This window comes from Homo sapiens, chromosome 5 (assembly GCF_000001405.40).
Source record: "Homo sapiens chromosome 5, GRCh38.p14 Primary Assembly".
NCBI lineage: Eukaryota > Metazoa > Chordata > Mammalia > Primates > Hominidae > Homo > Homo sapiens.
Genome location: NC_000005.10, coordinates 159,960,900 through 159,980,646, shown reverse-complemented (window position 1 = coordinate 159,980,646; position 19,747 = coordinate 159,960,900). Strand labels below are relative to the sequence as shown.

The following is a 19,747-nucleotide window of genomic DNA, read 5'->3' as shown; positions in this document are numbered from 1 at the left end:
TCTGCCAGTCTTACCAATCAGGAAACGGAGGCTGAGAGAGGTTAAATCACCTGTCTGGGACCACATAGCTGGCAAGTAGCAGAACCAGGATTTCAGTGCAGTTCTTTCTGACCTCAAGCCCAAGTCCTAATGACCAGGCTGTACTACTACTCATCTGAGCTATGTTTTGGGCATCATAATCTGGGGTTGGAACACATCTGTCACATAGAAAGATCTAGTAAGAGAAAACATTTCTCATTTGGGGCCAGGCAGTGTGGAGTCTTGTTCGGGCTCTCCCTCACACTAGCTATGTGACCTAAGAAAGAAATCTTTTAGAGTGTCATTTTCCTCCTCTTTCGGGTGGAGATTATTGTACCTGTTCAGCCTGTCACATGAAAACCGTAATGGGGCAACTCTATGGACATGGAAACTCTTGGGTCAGTTCTGTGACCACCGATCCAGCCACCTTTCACAGATCTCACCTTGAAACTCCCTGCTTGAATCCTCATTTCTGGCCAGTTGTCAGGGCCCCCTAACCACCCTCCTAGCCTGGAGTCCCTCCTTCCACCTTTCTCTTTTGCTGCCCAGTGGACCCCATGAAACACGACTTTCCCTCTTCTATGGCAAATCTTAGGCTCTCCACACACGATGGTCCGCTTACATTGGTGGGGCTCCTTCTGCTGCCTTGATCTGCCTCTGGCTTCCTTTCCCAGCCCCATCTTCTCCTCTTCCTCATCATGCTTTGTCTCCTCTGCTCTCCTTCTTGCCCTCTCTACTTGGCCACATGTTTTTTTTTTCTTTTGACGGAGTCTTGCTCTGTTGCCCAGGCTGGAGTACAGTGGCACGATCTTGGCTCACTGCAACTTTCTTCTCCCAGGTTCAAGTGACTCTCCTGCCTCAGCCTCCAGAGTAGCTGAGTTTACAGGCAGGTGCCACCACGCCTAGCTGATTTTTGTATTTTTAGTAGAGATGGGGTTTCACCATGTTGGCCAGTCTGGTCTCGAACTCCTGACCTCCGGTGATCCGCCCTCCACGGCCTCCAAAGTGTTGGGATTACAGGTGTGAGCCACCATGCCCAGCCAGCCACATCTTTTAGACCCATCTCAGATGCCACTTCCTCCATGAAGTCTTTCTGATTCTGTGCAAATGGACATGAACCCTTGGATTCCCAAAGCCCTTTATTGGTATGCCTACAATGGTGCTTAATAACTTCCATCTACTGAACAAGTACCATGTGCCAGGTACTGTACTAAACATGCTACATCCCAAGTGTAACTGATCTTCATGACAACCTTTTAAGATAGGTATTATTCTCATTTTCCAGAATAAGAAAACTGACCCTCTCAGAGGATAGGAGACATGCCCAAGAAGACACAACTAATAAATGGGAAAATCAGGATTGTCACCCAGTTCTAGCTGATTCTATGGTTCTAATACTTAACTCGTGTGTTACACAAACGTCTTTCTACCTTGTATGTAAGGTTTTTCTAAATTAATTTTTTTTTGTAGAGATAGGGTCTTACTGTGTTGCCCAGGCTGGTCTCAAAGTACTGGCCTCAAGCAATCCTCTTGCCTCGGCCTCCCAAAGTGCTGAGATTACAGTTGTGAGCCACTACGTCTGGCCATTTTGAATGACTGTACAAGCTCCCCTTTCAGAATGAAATTTTCATGAGAGCAAAGACAGGGTTTGCTCAAGTCCTTGGCTCCAAGCTTTGTGTAGGTGTTTAAGAATAGCTTGTAGAATGAATGAATGAAAAAACAAATGAGTGCATGAAGTACTGTACGGGTGTCCGTGCTTGATTGGGTTTCAGGTGCTGTTTGGTGAGGACATAGCATGCTTCTGACAGTAGTGGCTGACACAATATTTGAGAGCATTCACTAGGTTTTAGCGTTTTCCTCTGCTCCCAAGCAGTTTTGTAAATCTCTTGTGAAGATGCTGTTTCTCTGAATAAGGCCATGAGCAAGGGCCAAAGCTGTTTGTCTTACTAATCCCAATGAAGTTGTCTCCAAAGATAGCTTATCTGAGGACTGTGCAACGAGGAGGGGAGAACAAAAGCTGGAGTGACAGATCCACAGAGCTTAGCTATTGTCTCTGGCTTAGTACAGATAATAGACAGAGCCCTAGAGAGGGCCAGGGACTTAGGGGCTGAGCCAGAATCAGACGGCAGGCCTTCAGACTCCATCCCCACTTAGGAGCACAAGGGAGAGCACTAACTATGGAAACACCAGGGTTGCCAGGCAATGAGTCCCAGATGACATTCATCAGATGCCACTTCTTACAGGAAGCCCTCCCTGACCAGAACTGCTCCATCAATTTAGAGGTAGGACCCCCTGCCATGTGCTTCCCATAGCACTCTATTCTGCTATTATAGCATTTTCACAGTCATGGCAGGGTAGTACACATTTATTCACTCAAGAATATTTAGTGAACACCTGCAATGTGTCAGGTACTACATGAAGTGCTGAGAATACACAACAGTGAGCAAAACAGACAAATATCCCCACTCTCATGGAATATACATTTCTAGTGTGTGTGTGGGGAAACAGACAATACACATATAAATAAATTTAAAAAATATATGTCAGGTGGTGATAAGTACTATGGAGAAAAATTAAGTGGGAAAGGGCAATAGGGAGTGCTGGACAGTGTTGGCAGTAGGGAAGTCACTTTTAACCTGGACAGTCAGAGAAATCGGATGATCACCGAGAAGGTGACATTTGAGCAAAGAGGAGAAGGAGGTGATGGAGGAAGCCACATGGAAAGAAGGGGCTCTAGGCAGAGGGGACAACAAGTGCAAAGTCCCTGAGCTGGGAGTTGTGAGGCTCCCCCTGCTCCTATCATTTGAAGAGTAGCAAACTGGGATGGTAGGAAAGAAGATCAGAGAGGGAATAAGGGCAGGTCATACCTGTGTGCCCCCTCCTCACCCCAACACCCACACTTCAGTGAATTAGCTTGGACACTTAACCTCTGACTCCAGCCAAGTCGGCTGGAAGTCAGCCACTCATTGCCCAAGGGAATGGCTGTCAACGGGAAGCTAAAGAAAAAAGTGTCAAATTCTTGGCTCTTAACTTTCAAAAGGCAGGTCCAGGTATATGCTGGGAAAACCGTGGAAGGATGCTAATTCTTCCAAATCCAACCAATCTTGGGGGGCAACCTCCTTGCAAGAGCCTGGAGCACTTCACCATCACCCCCATCCCTCCAATGGGAGATGGAGCCTGACACTGGGGTCTCACCAAGTGAGGACTCCAGTGGGCCACCCTCTACCTTTGATGTACTTGAAGGGATTGCTTGCTGACCTGCTGCCTCTCACCCAGGCTGAGTTCCCTGAGCCTGGGTCTTGGTCTCCTTCCGTGTTGTGTTCACATGTCTAACACGGGGCAAGATTCATCACTCTTGTATGTTCTCTCTGGCTTCTTCTATATATTGAGGAAGCCATATTTGTTGAAAAGTTTATAACCTGGGTTCCATGTGTCCTTTGGGAGATTTAGCGGGGTGGGAATAATAGGTGAAGTCTGAGCTTGCTATGTTCATTTTTCTTTAGCTTTTATTACATTCTTAAAGGAACTGCTGATTCAGGAAAAGTTGAGAACTGCTGGAATGGAGGATATACAAGGTCCCCCATAGTTAATAAAAATAGTGTCTACTCTGTGCCAAGCTCTTTCATATTTTGTCTCATTTATTATTCATCCCAACCTTGTGAAGTAGGTGCTAACTGCATCCCCAATTTACAGACAAAGTGGTTGGCCTCAAGAGGGTAAGTGCTTGACTTGGGTAGGAGAGCTGGGCCTTGAATCCAGGTGCATGCTCAGGGCCACTGTCCTGGTCCCCTCCTCCATCTCTTCTGACACAGGATGTGCTAATCCTAACACATGTATGCTTCCCTTACCCATTTTGGTTTTGTCACCTGGAATGTTCCATAACTTTTATTAAATGTTTAAATGTTATTTTTAGTTTGGACTGATGACCTTTTTAAGTAACGCGTCTTCATGCTGTAGGACAATTTTTTTTTTTTTTTTTGAGACAGTGAGATAACTCGTTCTGGGAGTTATCTTGGCTCACTGCAATCTCTGATTCCCAGGTTCAGGCGATTACCTGCCTTAGCCTCCCGAGTAGCTGGGATTACAGGTGCATGCCACCACGCCTGGCTAATTTTCATATATTTAGTAGAGACAGGGTTTCACATGTAGGCCAGGCTGTTCTCCAACTGCTGGCCTCAAATGATCCACCCACCTCAAATGATCCACCCAGCCTCCCGAAGTGCTGGGATTACAGGTGTGAGCCACCGCACCCAGCCAACAAAATTCTTTTACTCCGTGATAAATTTATGTCTTTCTTCTTCACGGTGGACCCTAAGTCCTAAAACCTGGAATCTGACCAAAAAAACCTGAATTGTTTTGTCTCTATAACCAGATTTTCCAAATTTCATACATCCAAGTAAATAATTGAAGAATGACTACCTCTGTTAATAGCTACTGTTCATGGGATGCTCACCAAGTGCCTGGCATGGTGTCAACTGTTTTAGCCTCATGATCTCATTTGATCCCCCAATGTCCCTATGAAGTAATTAGTATTATTATCTCTATTTTATAGTTAAGGAAATGGAGGTTTAGACCCATGATGTAACTTGCCCAATGTCACACAGCTACTAACTGGCAGAGGTGGAATTTGAGTCCAGGTCTGGAAAATTAACTAGTATTCCACTTGCCAAGCCACTGGCCTCTTGACTGGGGTTGGCAGATTTATTCCTGTGCATGCTTCAGTGGTGACAATGACCCAGCAGTCTGGGTGGCTGGAGAGGAAATAGTAGGGCTGCTTTGCTGCTAGTTGGGAGATCAGAACAGAGAGGACCTGTCTGCCTGAGGGGCTCTTGATGAACTCTGGGTCCTCCTAGAGCCTGGCTACAAGGAAGTGACTTGGAAAGGCCAGCAAAATGTAGACTCTGGCTAGGGCCAGATCTGGACCCTAGCACCCTCTAGGGGATGTAAGCCACTACTTGGCCAGTCTTCCTTCTGGAAAGAAACAGGAGGCTGCTACCGCCTCTCTATGCTGCCTGGGTGACCTCCAAACACCAGTAATGAATGAGATCATCAGAACTGAGCAGCTCAGGAAATGCCTTTGGTGCCTTGTGGCTTCAAATATCCAAGGTCCAAATTATAACTTGCATCTGCCCAGTGATTTGCATTTCGGTGTTTATACTACAATGATCTCGTTGAATCCTTTGTGTGTCCTGGTGGGCTGTGATGATCATGTCCATTTGCTAGACCAGAAGAGGCAAGATGAACTGCCCAAGGTCATGCAGAGCCAAGACTTGAACCAAGGCCCTACTGACTCCAAATTCCATTTGCTTACACTAGACCAGTGATTTTTAAACATCATTCTGTGGAACCCCAGGGTGATTGGGGCAGGCCAGAGCAAGTGTCTCAGGAAGAGGAGGAGGCTGAGGAGGCTCTGTCTTCTCTCCACTCCACTATGGGCTGATCTTATATCAGATTTCTGCGTAAGATTTGTTAGAAGATTTGTGATCCTAACACAATGTTTTCAGAACTTCCCCAAATGATCCCTTGTTCTCCGGGAATGGAGTTGGGGCTTTTCTTTTCCTAGGGCCCCCTTTTCTCTATTCAGGCAAGAAGAGGACTGCTCTCTGTTGGAGGATGTACTTAACTACAGGATGGTAGCAGAGGGGAATGTAAAAGGTACTGGACAAAGCACAGGGGAATGTAAAAGGTACTGGACAAAGAGGCAGAAGACCTGGGTTCTACAGCTTTGGTGTGACCCAGTCAAATTATTTACCTCAGTCTCCCCATGTGTAAAATTGAGGGAGTTGGCCTAGAAAATTACTAAAATCCAGTTCAGAGCATATAAACCATGGATAGTGAGATCTTACACAAGGGTACGGCATCTAAAATTGAATGAAAATGTAATTTTCCTTGGTATGTGCGTTTTTATGGAAACAGTTTATAGCCTTCATCAAAGTCTTAAGGGGGTTTGTTATACAGAATCTCTGGCTTCCTAGGATTTTTTTTTTTTTTTTTGATGGAGTCTTGCTCTTGTCACCCAGGCTGGAGTGCAATGGTGTGATTTCGGCCCACTGCAACCTCCGCCCCCTGGGTTCAAGCGATTCTCCTGCCTCAGCCTCCCGAATAGCTGGGATTACAGGTGCCCACCATCACACCCAGCTAATTTTTTGTATTTTTAGTAGAGACGAGGTTTCACCCTGTTGGCCAGGCTGGTCTTGAACTCCTGACCTCAGGTGATCCACCCGTCTCGGCCTCCCAAAGTGCTGGGATACAGGCGTGAGCCACTGCACCCAGCTGGTTTTCTTTTTCTTTTTCATTTTTTGACAGAACTGCTGGGCAATCTTGTTTCTCCTTTTGGGGATATCAAGTTGTAAGAATGTCATGAGGAAGGCATTTGCAATAAGGAAACTAGGGTAATACACAAAGATAAGCAGAACTAAAAGATGGAAGCTACAGGAAGGAGTAAGAGACTGTGAGTAACTTGACAATCTCGTTTGTGCCCCTGGATCCAGCCATACCTGACACCCCTATACTTTTCAACTACATCAATCACTGGCTCTTTCCCCTTTAAGTATTTTCTCTCTCAATCACCTACAGAATGAATGATCGATGTGCTAATATTATTGGAAGAGGTTCTTGCCATTTGCAAAATTATGAAGCTCAACTTAGAAAAGCAAAGTAGAAAGAAAAAAAGGGATGGGATGGGGGAAGAGCGTTCCTCCTAGGCTTTTCTGCATCTCTGAAGAAAAATGTTTCAGATTTTGCTCAGTGTCCTTTATTCTCTTTTCAAACTAGGGGCTTTCAGAGGCAGCAAAGACCTTAGAGTCAACTCCACCATTACACAGATGGGGAACCAAGATCCAGAGAGGGAAGTAAGTCTCTGCTCTTCATACAATAAATCAGTAGTAGGACTGAGACTAGAACCCAAGTTATCGACTCCAAAGAATGCTCCACCTTTCTGTGTGACCTTCCTCAGTGCTTTTTTCCAGGCAGGGTCACAAGTCAGCAGAGCTTGGGAGGGTTCTTGTGACCCTGTATGTTGCTGGGCCCCAAGGATCCATATCTTATCCAGAAACGTCTGCAGTTTGGATGTCTTTTCGAGTTCTGTGGGCACAGGCAAACAATCAGTGGAGTGCTGGCCTGGGAATGCAAAGGTGAGGGGAAGGGAACCAGCCCCTCTCTCTGCCTGAGCTTCATCATCTCTCAGGAAACAGGCCCATTTAGGGGACTGGCCGGGGAACCCCAGCTGGGGTTGGGTCTAGGGATCAGGACCAAGCCAGACATTGCTCAGTGTTGGTCACAGCAGGAAGGAGCCGCAGGAGGATTCAGATTCTGCTAAGGGTCAAAAGCAGGCAAGCAGGATTCATTAGGCAAGTCCAGGGCGTCACGTTCAGCCACAGGGCCAGACTGGTGCAGCCCTGTAGGTCAGTAACCGCAAAGGCGTAAATGGGACCTAGGGGAGCCAGCACTAATTGTCCTCAAGACGTGGTGAGAGCGGCTCTTCTGGGGTGGAGACTGGAGGGCAGGGGAATGGAAAGCGAAGGACCCTAAGACCTAGGACCGGGTCAAATCCGAAGCGGAAGGAAGAGGAAACGCAAGGCTCTGCCTGCCGCTCGTCCACAAACCACTCAAAGCCGAACAGGAGAAATGACCTTTAATGTCGACTTTGTTTCCAACCCCACCAAAGTGCCATCCTTCAGTGAAGTACAAGGAGGGGCTTGAGAGGTACGAAGTCACGACACACACAACGCCCCCGGTTGCCTCCTGGGCGCACAGTCGCCGCGCCCTCACAGGGCGGCCCCACGCACACACACAAGCGGAACACACGCACACCGCACAGTCACACTCACGTGCACCCACGGTTAAATACAAGTAGAGAGGGACTCGTTTATATATACACAGAGGGAGAGAGAGAGGTAAATCCCGGCGGCGTCGGGTCCCCCAGGCTCTCAGCATGCTCGGCCCGGCTTTCCGCGTGGTACCTGGCACCCATGCCCCTGCCAGAAAAGCAGCTGCCCCTCTCCCCGGCCCTCCCCCCGGTTCCCCTTGGGGCGCGCGTCTACCCGGCGTGGACGCTCCCCTCCCCCCTCCGCCCCGCCCTCCCCTCCCCCCCACGATGTTTTCCTCCCCAGGGAAAGAAAGCTGCGCACGGGGGCCCTAAAACTGCCCGGGCGCCAGGGGCATGTTGCTTTTGAAGCCCGGCTGCCCGTTGGCCACGTCGGCCGCGGCCTCGCAGCCTCCGTTGCTGGCGCCGCCGTCGGTCCCGGGGCTCTCGGGCTCGGTCAGGAGCTTGAAGGTGAAGAGCGGGCCCGAGTCGTGGCGGCCGCGGCGGCCGGGGGGCTCAGGCGCGGGCAGGCTCAGGAGGGCGCCGGGCGCCTTCCACTCGGGGAAGGCGCACAGCTCGACTGGCGGTGGCGCGCCGCGGCCCAGGTAGCCCGGGCTCGGCGAGGCCGAGGGCAGGGTCCGCTGGCTGCCGCTCAGGCAGCTGCCGCTGTCGTCCAGCGAGTCCTTGCGCGACTGCGAGCGCTCCAGCGAGCCGCCGCGCGTCCACGGCCGGTAGGTGTAGGCGCAGCCGCCCAGGCGACGGCGGCGGCGGCGTCGGCGGCGGCCGCGGCCGCGGCACTGGCACCCGAGGATGCGCACGAAAGCGCGCTTGAACTCCTTGCTGGAGCATGGGTAGATGATGGGGTTGAGGCAGCTGTTGAAGTAGCCCAGCCAGAACACCACCTTGAACACGGCGTCGGGGGGCTTCAGGGTGGAGAACAAGGAGCCTGCAGTGGGGAGGGGGGTGGGCACGGGCAGAAAGACAGCAATTTGTGAGTAGTCAAGCTCTCGCCCCAATATGCTTCTCCTCAACATTGTCAACCTGCAGCGTTCCTGCCGCCAGGCCTTTCCCCGAGCCGGTTCCTCTGCCCGGAATACTTCCCTTTGCATTTCAAAATCAATGAATCCTACATTCATTTTTAGGGCCAGCCTCAATAACTTCGCCTTTGTCCATGAAACCTTTCTTGATCTAGTTAAACAGCATCTAAGCTCCTATAGTTTCCTCTGGCAGCACTTGCCACCTTCAATCTAAGTGATAACAATAATCGCCCACAATTGCACATCTCTTTTGGGTCAGGCACTGTGCTAGGTGCTTTCCCGATATTAGTTTATCCTTCACAAAACGTCATGAAGTAGATGCCGACTTGTTTCCGTGGAAAACAGAAGGTGTATTAAAGACCTAAATGTGAAAGGTAACGTTTTAAAGGTAAAAGAGAACAACATAAAAGACTATTTTTTTGATCTAGGGGTGAAGAAAAACAATACTTCAAAAGGACGAATCATGAGGCAAGAATCTGAGAAGATATTTACAATGACCAAAACAGTCAAGGGATTGATATTTAGAATATGTGAGGAACTCTTACAAATCAGCAAGAAAAAGTGTTCCCAGTAGAAACATGGGCAATGGAAAGTAGCAGGAAATTTACAAAATAGGAAACGCAAGGGCTAATGAACATATGAAAAGATAATCAAAATATTAGGCAATCAAATAAAAACCGCAAAGAGGCTGAGTGCAGTGGCTCATGCCTGTAATCCCAGCACTTTGGGAGACCAAGGCAGGAGGATCACTTGAGCCCAAGGGATTGAGACCAGCCGGGGCAGTACAGGGGGACCCCATCTCTACAAAAGAAAGCATTAACCAGGCGTGTTGGTGCGTGCCTGTAGTCCTAGCTACTTGGGAGGTTGAGGCAGGAGGATCCCTTGAGCCCAAGAGTTCAAGGCTGCAGTGAACTATGATCGTGGCACTGCACTCCAGCCTGGGTGTCAGAGCAAGTCCCTGTCTCTCCAAAAACAACAACGAAAACGAAAACCACAAAGGGACATACCTGATAGGCTGGCAAAAATTAGGAAGCTGCATAGTTCCAAGTTCACACAGGGGTGTGGGGTGTGGGGACACGAGGAGCTTTGTTCATGGCTGGTGGGGGCACAGGCTGTACACACATCCTGGAGATGACTCTGCTAGCACTTGGTCTAAGTATACATACACCTTGTGACCCAGCCATTTTGCTCCAGGACACAGATCTCAATGAATTTTCACACAAGTCCATAAGGGTTCATATATGAGGGGGCTCATGGCAATATTGTTTGTAGTGACAGGAGGTGGGAGACAACCTGGATGTCCCTCCCTGGGAAAAGTAGAATGGGGTAGATGCATTCTTAGATATTATGCAGCATTTAGAGGCCCAGGGTGACATGTCTGCATGACCACGTGGAAAGATCTGAAATACATGGTTCTTTGTGAAAAAAGTAGGAAATAGAATGAGATTTATGACATAATACCATTTAAGTAGCTCACCAAACAACCACATGCATTTTGGAAAAACACATTCAAATTAACAAAAACATGTTAAAGACAGAATGCCTAGGGGTGGAGGCAGAGGGAAATGGGAATGGGAATAAAAGGAAATAAATCAATATAATAAGAGAGAGGCCTGGCATAGACTCATGATGATGAGACATTATGAATAAGAAACATGATTAACTCACCCCTCTGAATGTGAGATCCCAAAACATTTTATGGCAATATTAAATTAAAAACAATTTCCATTTTAAATATAAGTCAGCTGAAACTTGGAGAGGTTAAATGACTTGCCCCAGGTCACACAGCATGCTTGTAATATATCTGGGATTTAGACTAAATTCTATTTGAATAAAAATGTGTTTTTTTTTTAAAAAAATGCAATTAATAATACTCTGTGTAAAGATGAGAAAATATAAAAATGCAAAAAGAGAAACTATTTTAAAAGCACATATAAAACTCTGCAGTGCCAAAATACCATATTTTGGTGTGTATACTTTCAGATTTTTCCTCTTGTATATACAAATTTAAATATCTTAAAAAATGGAATACTTTCTAGAACATTTTGTATCTTCTAACCATGTCTCTGTCCCTGCCACTTGGCTTGTGGCATATTTTGTATTCCTGACTTCTCAGACTGAGCTTCCCAAGGGCCTGGTCTTTGGGATCATCACTGAATCTATTTGTGAAAAGAAGAGCCAACACTCTTAGAGCATATCTGAATGGGAGGGATCTTAGCAACTGCCAAGTCCAACTAGTTTGCAGGTGGAGACACCAAGACCTAGAGAGTAGCTGGAAATCTCTGAGGTGGTTGGCACAGATGCCACAAGGATTCCCATCTTTGATTTTGGATTGCTCTTGAATTTCTTCTCTGTAGCATTTCACTTTCTTGATTATTTGAGATTTGGCCTGTTTCAAACCTCAAATAATCAAGAAGAAGAAATACAGGAGCCTGACTCCTAATTCTCTGCCCAGTAACTCAGTAGTGGCTGCTGGGGGGCAATGGCTGGGCTCCTGGTGCAGGAGTAAGTCAGCCAGGAGTTCAACTTAGAAAGAGGGTTATCCATACCTGGATGTAAGTGCCAAGTGTAAGTACTGACCTCTTTTTAGGTTGGGGGAAATGAGGCAGTGGGCTACTTTCTAGGTTTGGTCGAGGTGAGACAAGGGAGGGCACTATTTTGTGACCCGATTTGTGACAAGACTCACACCATTAGATTTGGGTCTCACCATTGGAGCTACTCTTTTGGATTAAGACTCTGTACAGAAGGCCCCAGCTGAAATGCAACTATGGTGTATGAGCACCTAGTATTCCCTGATGTGGGGAGTTGTCTCTGTTCACAGGGATGGGCTTATTTCTGTCACTGAGTCTGAAGAACATAGGAAACTGGCCTTGACAAAATGGGAAACTGGAGAATAAATTTTGGAGAGGGCCAGACATGGTGGTTCAAGTCTGTAATCCCAGCGTTTTGGGATGCCAAGGCAGGAGGATAACTTGAGACCAGGATTTTGAGACCAGCCGGGGCAACATAGTGAGATTCCTGTCTCTACAAAAAAGAAAATTTGGGGAAGAAGTAGAGTGAGGGAGGTAAAGTTTCGAAGCCTTGTGCATTACACAGGGATGAGTGTGTATACAGGCAGCACATTACTTTGCATGAGGACACACAGGGCCCAGGATGGAGGCTGGAGCCATGGCCCGAGGTGGGATCCTGTAATCCCAGCACTTTGGAAGGCGAAGGTGGGCAGATCGCTTGAGACCAGGAGTTCGAGACCATCCTGGCCAACATGGCAAAACCATGGACAGGATCTAGAGCAGGAAAGCATGTTTGTTGAGGAAAAAATTATAACTTTGTTTGGTGCCAACCCCATTGAAGGTGGTTGTGAAATAGGCGATAAATGGATTAATGGGGATGCAACCTGAGAAACTGGCTCTTTTAAAGGTTACAAAAATATCAATAATGCTAATAGCTAAGATTCATCATAGCCAGCATTTATCTTGTGTGTGTGCTCTGCAGGTCCTGTGCTAACTCTTCACACCACTAGCTTATTTAATAATTATAATCGGAAGGTACCAGTGAGGAAGGTACTATTGTTGGTCCCATTTTTTTGGATCAAGAGACCAGTATATGATAGTCATAGTTATTTAACTTGCTATATGTCCATTCATTTGTTCGTTCATTCATCCGTTCCACAAACACTAAGCTCCTGCTAAGTGCTAGGCATGAGGACAAGCTGTGGGAATGCAGAGATGAGTTTGGGGTGTGGTGTTGCACCATGGCAGCTAAGAGGCCATTCAACAGAACACATGTAGCATTAGGAAGGGGGCATAAATTTTACTTTCCCCCTATGTCTGCGCGGCATACGTTTTTTGGTTGTTCTTCACGTTCATCACACTGGAAGCACCATGTCAGGGACAATGATGGGCTAGATTTTTGCCTCTGTTTTCTTACAATGTACCCTCCAAGGACCATGGCCTTGAGAAGTGTTCAGCCAAAGGTGAGGGGGTGATGCCAACTTTTCTCATGGGCATTTACTGCCACATTTTGGGTTTGGGCTCATTACACTGTTTATTCCTCTGAGAAGAAGAAGCCAAGGGCCATTCTTTGCCCTTGGCTGATTAGGCAGTGTGGTCAAGTGGCTGGAACCCAGAACTTGGGATGACACAGACCCGTATTGAAACCTCTCTTGAGTTATTGGCTGTTCAGCTTTAGAAGAGTTAATTAGCCATCTCAGCCTCAATTTTCCCATCTGTAAAATGGGGACAATATCTATGTCATAGAGTTACTGTGAACACATGAAAATATCCATGTAAAATACTTGACACAGAGTCTGACATCTTGAAAATAATAAATAGTGACCATTTTCTAAATATACTTTATATCCTGACCCATTCTCTTCCAGGAACTCAGCTCTGATTAGCCCCACTCAACTCAGATGGACTTATTTATTCTGTACCCCATAGAATTCATACAAGCAGATCATATTTTGTTATTTTATTGTTTGCTTTTTCATGTTAAGCCATCCCAGGTCTGGCTGAATCCTAGTTCATCACCCAGATTGTAAATTCCTTCTGGAAAGGAGCTATATCTTCATTTCTTTTCTTTTCCCCTCCAGATTTGTATATTTTTTTTATTTCAAAAGTAATACATGCTGAATTTAAAAAATACGTATTACAAAAAATCTGTTAAGTCTAGAGTGAAAATACTCCACTTAAGCAGAAGGGATCAGAGTTAACAGTTTTATTTGGAATCCTTCCAGATTTAAAAAAATGGGGTCATACTGCACATACCTTTCCCCAAATTGCTCTCTTTGCTTACAGTATGTAAAAGATATTTCCTTGTCAAAGTACGTGGTGCTATTTCACTTCTCTCCCCACCCCACAAGGGCTGCATTACATCCTACTGTCTGGATAGATGGTAGTTTTATTTAATGCCTTCTCTATAGGTGATTTCCAATTTTTGGCTATTACGGACTGCAGTGATGAAAAGCCACATGCATTCACTTTTTCATGCACATTTGGGTGTTTCTGTGCAATAAATTCACATGAGGAATCACTGGGTCATTTCCACATTTAAGCCCTGACAGCCAAATTGCCTTTTGAACTGGTTGTACTAATTTACCCACCTATCAACTGTGCCTGAATCTGACATTTTCCCTACAACTCCCCACCTCTGGGCTCTTTCAGCCTTTTTAATCCTCACTTGTTTGGTAGGTGAACACTGATCTTGCCCTCTTGTTCCATTTGCATTTCATTTTATTTTGTCCTCCTTTGCACCCTGAACAAGTCCTCAGTGACTTCTGACAGGGAGTCCCCTTTTTTATTGGAATGGGACTCCCTGGAATAGAATCCTGGCTCTGGCCATGTGACCTTGGGCCAGTTTCATACTGTCCCTAAGCCTTAGTTCCTCATCAGTAAGATGGGCTAATAATAGTACTGACCTCTCTGATTGTTGTGAGGATTAAGCAAGGTAAAAACATGTAGAGTCCTTATGAGCACTCTGGATCCCAGGTGTCTGTCACTCAGTCAACTCTGCATGAATAGTAATTAACTAAATAATAATTATTGTCCCTGTAAATCCCTGATTGGGCTGGAAATCTAATTTTAGGAAACATATTTGGGGTCTATTTTACTACATGTATCATTTTGGGTGAACTGCTTTCCAGTTTTGTGCCTGTTTTCTTTCTTTAATTGAGTGGTGTGAGCTGGGTCTTTTTCAGCCTTAAAATTCAGAGTTCTGGCTGGGTATGGTGGCTCACACCTGTAATCCAGCACTTTGGGAGGCCAAGGAGGGCGGATTACCTGAGGTCAGGAGTTTGAGACCAGCCTCGCCAACATGGTAAAACCCTGTCTTTACTAAACATACACAAATTAGCCAAAATGCTCGCTTGAACCCAGGAGGTGGAAGTTGCAGTGAGCTGAGATCGCTCCATTGCTCTACAGCCTGGTCTGTGTCAAAAAAATAAATAAATAAATAAATAAATTCAGATCCCTCATGAAGTCAGAGACCAAAGCCTTGCCCATCCCTGCTGGGGCGTGCCTGCTTCCCTAGACTTTCACCACAGCGGGGCAGTGTGGGTCAGGGACTGGACCGCCAGGCTGCCACAGATGCCACAAATTTTTCGACCCCCTCCTTCCTCCTTCTTCCTCTGCCAGCACAGTAGCTGCTGGGATTAGGGGGGTCCCGTTTGCTGCACTGGCCTGCCTTGGTGGAAACCAAGAAGCTGTCGTTAAGTAACAAGATGCTAAGCCTGTTAGGCATGTAAGAGGATGTGTGGCAGGGATCGTTTCCCCTGGGCAGCCAAACAGACCTGTCACTGGAGAAGAGTGTGGTGGGTGAAGCTGCTGGGTGAGGGGAGTAAATACAACAGGAAGTGTGGGTTCCTGGAAGGCCTGGACACTCTGTGCTGGAAGTCAGGGCTGCGCTGGGCTCTTTAACAATGCCACTAACCCCCTGTGCATGTTCCCGAGCCTGGCCCTGAGCCTGCCTCCGCTTCCCTTGCTCATGGAATGTTCCTGATGCTCCTTGCCCTGCCTCTTGGAATCATGGCTCGCCAGGCCTGGGAAGCCTCCTTCCTTAATGGAGGGCCAGTGAGGGTGAGGGGAGTGACTCACTCAAGGTCACTCAACTGGTGAATGGCAGAGTGGCCACCACGACCTGTTCAAGTTGCCATTCATTTGCTTCAGCAAATATTTATTGAGGCAGTGGAGTTTAGTGGTTAAGGACCTGCTCAGACATCACAGGTAGGTAGATCTGGGTTCAAACCCTAGCCCTGGCATTCTCAGCTGGGCGACCTTGGAGAAGATCCTTAAGTTTGGTGAGGCTTGGTTTCCTGGAAAATTGGGAGGGTAATAATTATTTTCTGTACGGATGAGGTGAGCTCAGGCTTGGTAAGTACCTGGCACATTGAAAGCACTCAATAAGTATAGCTATGATGACTGCTTTGAGCGCTGCTACTGTTACAACTGCCAGCACCGCTGTTACCACCAGTACCACTGCTACCAAGATGAAGAAGGTGGTGAAGAGGATGAGGTCTATGTGCTGTGTGGGCATTGAGACTTACCCTACTGCTCTTTCCAATACCAGCTGAATTATGGTCTCCACGTGGTTCCTGAACCTGCTAAAATTGTGGGCAACATTCCTATATTTTCTTGGTTAGGGTCCATAGCTGTCGTCATGGTCTCAAGGGGATCAGTAACCCTCAAAGGGTTGAGACTCCCCCATCCCAGGTCTAAAGCTTGCTAAGCATTCATCATTCTGCCACCTGGACCACCATTTACTTAGCGCTTTTCTTTGCGTCAATTAGTTTTTGGTATCTCAATTCTTTTGAAGGAAGCTTTCTATCACTATTTTAAAACTTGCATCATTTACTATAAATAAAACATCATGGTGGAGAAAATAAGATGAAAACAAAACAATGTTTGTACCTCCTGGATAGCTCCAGACTGTGGTGTGAATGAGGCCTGCTCCCTCTTTCTCGAAAAGGGAGATTAGCAGTGGTTGAGAGGTGCTGAAGACATTTTGGCCCTAAACTGAGAGGCACTGCTCTCTGAGGAACCTAAAGGATTGAAAGAGAAGTGAACAGGGAACCACTTTGTCTCTGGAGAGCCCAGGCCCTGGCACACGTAGTAGGTGCTGAAATAGATATTTGCTCAGTGATGGACTGACTGAATATGTGACTCACGGTTTCTTGTGCTATCTCTAGATGTCATTTCAATCTTGCACACCACCCAAATCCATAGTGAATTTCTCCTGCTATGTAGGTGCAGCCCTGGGAAACCACATGTGGGAAGCATTTCTATTATTTTATTCTTTTTTTTCCGGGGTGGGGTGGTGAGGGGAGGAGGGATAAATCGAGGAACAGATGTTGCCGTGAGCCCACCCACATCACTTAGTCTTTGAGTGCCCAAGGGCGATTTAGAGGGACTGAGAAGTGCAAGGGTCAAAGGCTCACATTGAGCAGGATATACACAGGGAAAAACATTTCTTGGCTGGACATGGCCCCAGCAGGTCATCCTTAAGCTGACATTCAACAAATCTGAACAGTGAACAATGAACAGTGGAGGTCTCAACACTCCGTGAACCTGAGGGCCACTCATCAAAACCTCAGGGCATGTCTGTAGAATAGCAGCTACCATTTAACAAGCTCTGACTCTGTGCCAGGCGATGGGCTAAGTGCTTAACCACTGTTGGGCCAGTTACTCCTTCAACAGCCACTGTTCCCAAGGCAGTCCATCATGACTGTGCTCTAGAAGGCACCATTCATACTGTCCTTTACAACAATTCTTGATGACTGTGTCCAACCTGCATGGCTGGCCTGGGGGGCCATGATTCTTACACACAGGGGAACAGAAACTCAAATTTGATATAGGTAAGTTGCCCGAGGCCACAGAGCTAGTAGGTAATAGAGTTAGAATTTAAATATAGGCAGCTGTGACAGAGGCTCTTAATCACCACAATGCAGCTCACAGGAAAACAAAATATACATACTTATGTGTGTGGATATATATATATATATATATACTTTTTTTGTTTATTCACTGTCAAGTCTCAACATAATGCTCATGTATAGAAAGGTCTGGGAGGGTGTGTACTGGAATGTCAACTGTGCTTATCTTTGAGTGTGGGGAAATTATGGGTGAATTTTCCTTCTCTGTGCTTTTTGGTGTTTTCCAAAATGTTCTCCATGAACACAAATTCCTTCTGTAACTGGGGAAAATCCAATGAATGTTATCTAAAAGCTAAAAGGCCAGGTGCAATGGCTCATGGCTATAATCCTAGGACTTTGGAAGGCTGAAGCAGGAGGATCGCACGAGTCCAGGAGTTTGAGAACAACCTGGGCAACATAGACGTTGTTTCAAAAAAAAAAAAAAAAAGAAAAGAAAAGAAAAAGAAAGAAAGAAAGAAAAGAAAAAGAAATAAAAGCTAAAAACCAAACAAGCCAAAAAGTAAAAAAAAAAAAAAAAAAAAAAAATAGCCAGGTGTGGTGGCCCCCACACCTGTGGACCAGCTACTCGGGAGGCTGAGGTGGGAGGATTGCTTGAGCTCAGGAGGTTGAGGCTGAAGTGAGCTATGATCGCATCACTGCATTCCAGGCTGGGCAATAGAGCGAGACCTTGTCTCAAAAAAAAAAAAAAAAAAAGCTGAAAAACAAGCCAAAAGATGCTGTGCGTATTGGGTCCTTGTTATGTGCCGCCAACTTTTTTAGCTCCTGTTTCATTTAATCCTGACAACAGCTCCCTGAGCAGGGTGGGATTATCCCTATTTTACAGATGAAGAAATGGGTAGACGGCAGCACCAGTGCGAGGTCCCTCACAGGTGAGAGACAGGTTTAAAATGAAATGAGATGATTTGAGAGATTTGAAATGAAAATGAAACCTGATGATTTGAGAGGTTTGAAATGAAATCAGACGGATGGCAGCACCACTCAGACAGATGGCAGCACCAGTCTGAGGTCCCTGAGAAAGACAGTTTTTAAATGAAATCTTTTGTTATTAAGCCCCCAGCAGCCCCCTCGTTAGTTCCTGATGTGCCTGTGGTCCCCTGTCCCTATCTCCTTACTGTGGGGCATAAATGGAGGAATCTTTTTATTCTTTACATATTCTTTTTTCTTTGAGACAGGGTCTCACTCTGTTGCCCAGGCTGGAGCACAGTGGTGCAATCTCGGCTCACTGCAACTTCTACCTCCCAGGTTCAAGTGATTCTCCTGCTTCAGCTTCCCGAGTAGCTGGGACTATAGTGCATGTCATCACGCATGGCTAATTTTTGTATTTTTTGATAGAGACAGGATTTCATCATGTTGACCAGACTGGTCTTGAACTCCTAACCTCGCCTCGGCCTCCCAAAGCGCTGACTTTACATATTCTTAAATCCATTGGCCTTCACTCAATATTGGCTGAAGAAATGAGGCAATGAGCAGGCTCAGAGACTGCAGTGTGGCGTGGGGACCTAAAGCATCATTTATCTGGTCTACAAAATGCCAGCCATGGGCTGGGTGGTTTCTAACATCCCTCTGGGCCCTGACATTCTGGGACTCTGGGATTATAAATTTGATTTGATTTATTTCACAGTCAGTGTCAAACAAGCCAATGACCTCAGGGGAGTCAGTGGGTGGAGAAACTGTTTTGATCCTCTTGTAAATGGAGTGGAACTCCTTTGCAGTGTGGCTCTTATTAGGGGCATTTGGCTACACCGTCAGGCAAACCACATCTCCTCAGCTGAAACAATTTGGTCCAGTAAAAACTGGAAAAATTTACAATAATATGCTGCTTCTGTCAGCACCAGCTTTGTAAAAGAAGGTTTCCTTGGATTTGGAAATTCCCTTCAAGGTTTTTCCATTTTTATTTGCCACTTAACCCTGGAATGAGATCATAAACTTGTCCAGTGAATACAATATCTTTGGGCCAATAGAGCCATGTTAAGTTTTAAAACAAATGCTGAAAACAATAATAACCACAGCCACCTTTTGCAACAACTCCATTCCAAAACCAGTTATTAAGGTACCACATTTACAAACATTCTCTATTGTAATTCTCCAACAGCCCTGCTACTATGTATTTCATTTTGCAGAGGAGGAAATTAAGGCTTAAGAGGTTAACAAGGTCACATGCCTAGTATGTGGTGGACTCTAATTAAAATCCAATTTTGAAGTGTGGGTTTTTACTCGTTTAATAATAAGGAAAAGGAGCATTTATTCATTTCCTTAAACACTAGGGAATTTCTCCCTTAACTGGGAATGCTGAATTGTCAAAGCACTTTTTCTGAAACTAAAATGTGGCATTTGTCCCTTTGAACCTTGGATTACAATTGCTTAGGTCTATATTCTCATCTCCTCTGATTAGACTGTGAATGACTAGAAAAGAGGGTTCATGTCTGACTCTTCTCTCTGTGCCCAAGGCCTACCTAGCACAGT

The 19,747-nt window shown here is 46.2% G+C and overlaps 1 protein-coding gene across 4 annotated transcripts in view; it reads right to left on the bottom strand.

The window, feature by feature from the left end:
• Positions 1 to 19,747, bottom strand: part of ADRA1B (adrenoceptor alpha 1B) — a 124,120-nt gene that overhangs the window by 8,559 nt on the left and 95,814 nt on the right. For 3 of the 4 annotated variants that reach the window (XM_047416776.1, XM_011534435.2, NM_000679.4), the window contains one exon: positions 7,635 to 8,768. The exons of the other annotated variant lie outside the window; for it this stretch is intronic. In XM_047416776.1, coding sequence (XP_047272732.1) covers positions 8,155 to 8,768 — 614 coding nt within the window. In that variant the 3' untranslated portion in view covers positions 7,635 to 8,154. Of the gene's footprint in view, positions 1 to 7,634; positions 8,769 to 19,747 lie in introns of those variants that run through there. 4 annotated transcript variants of the gene reach the window in all.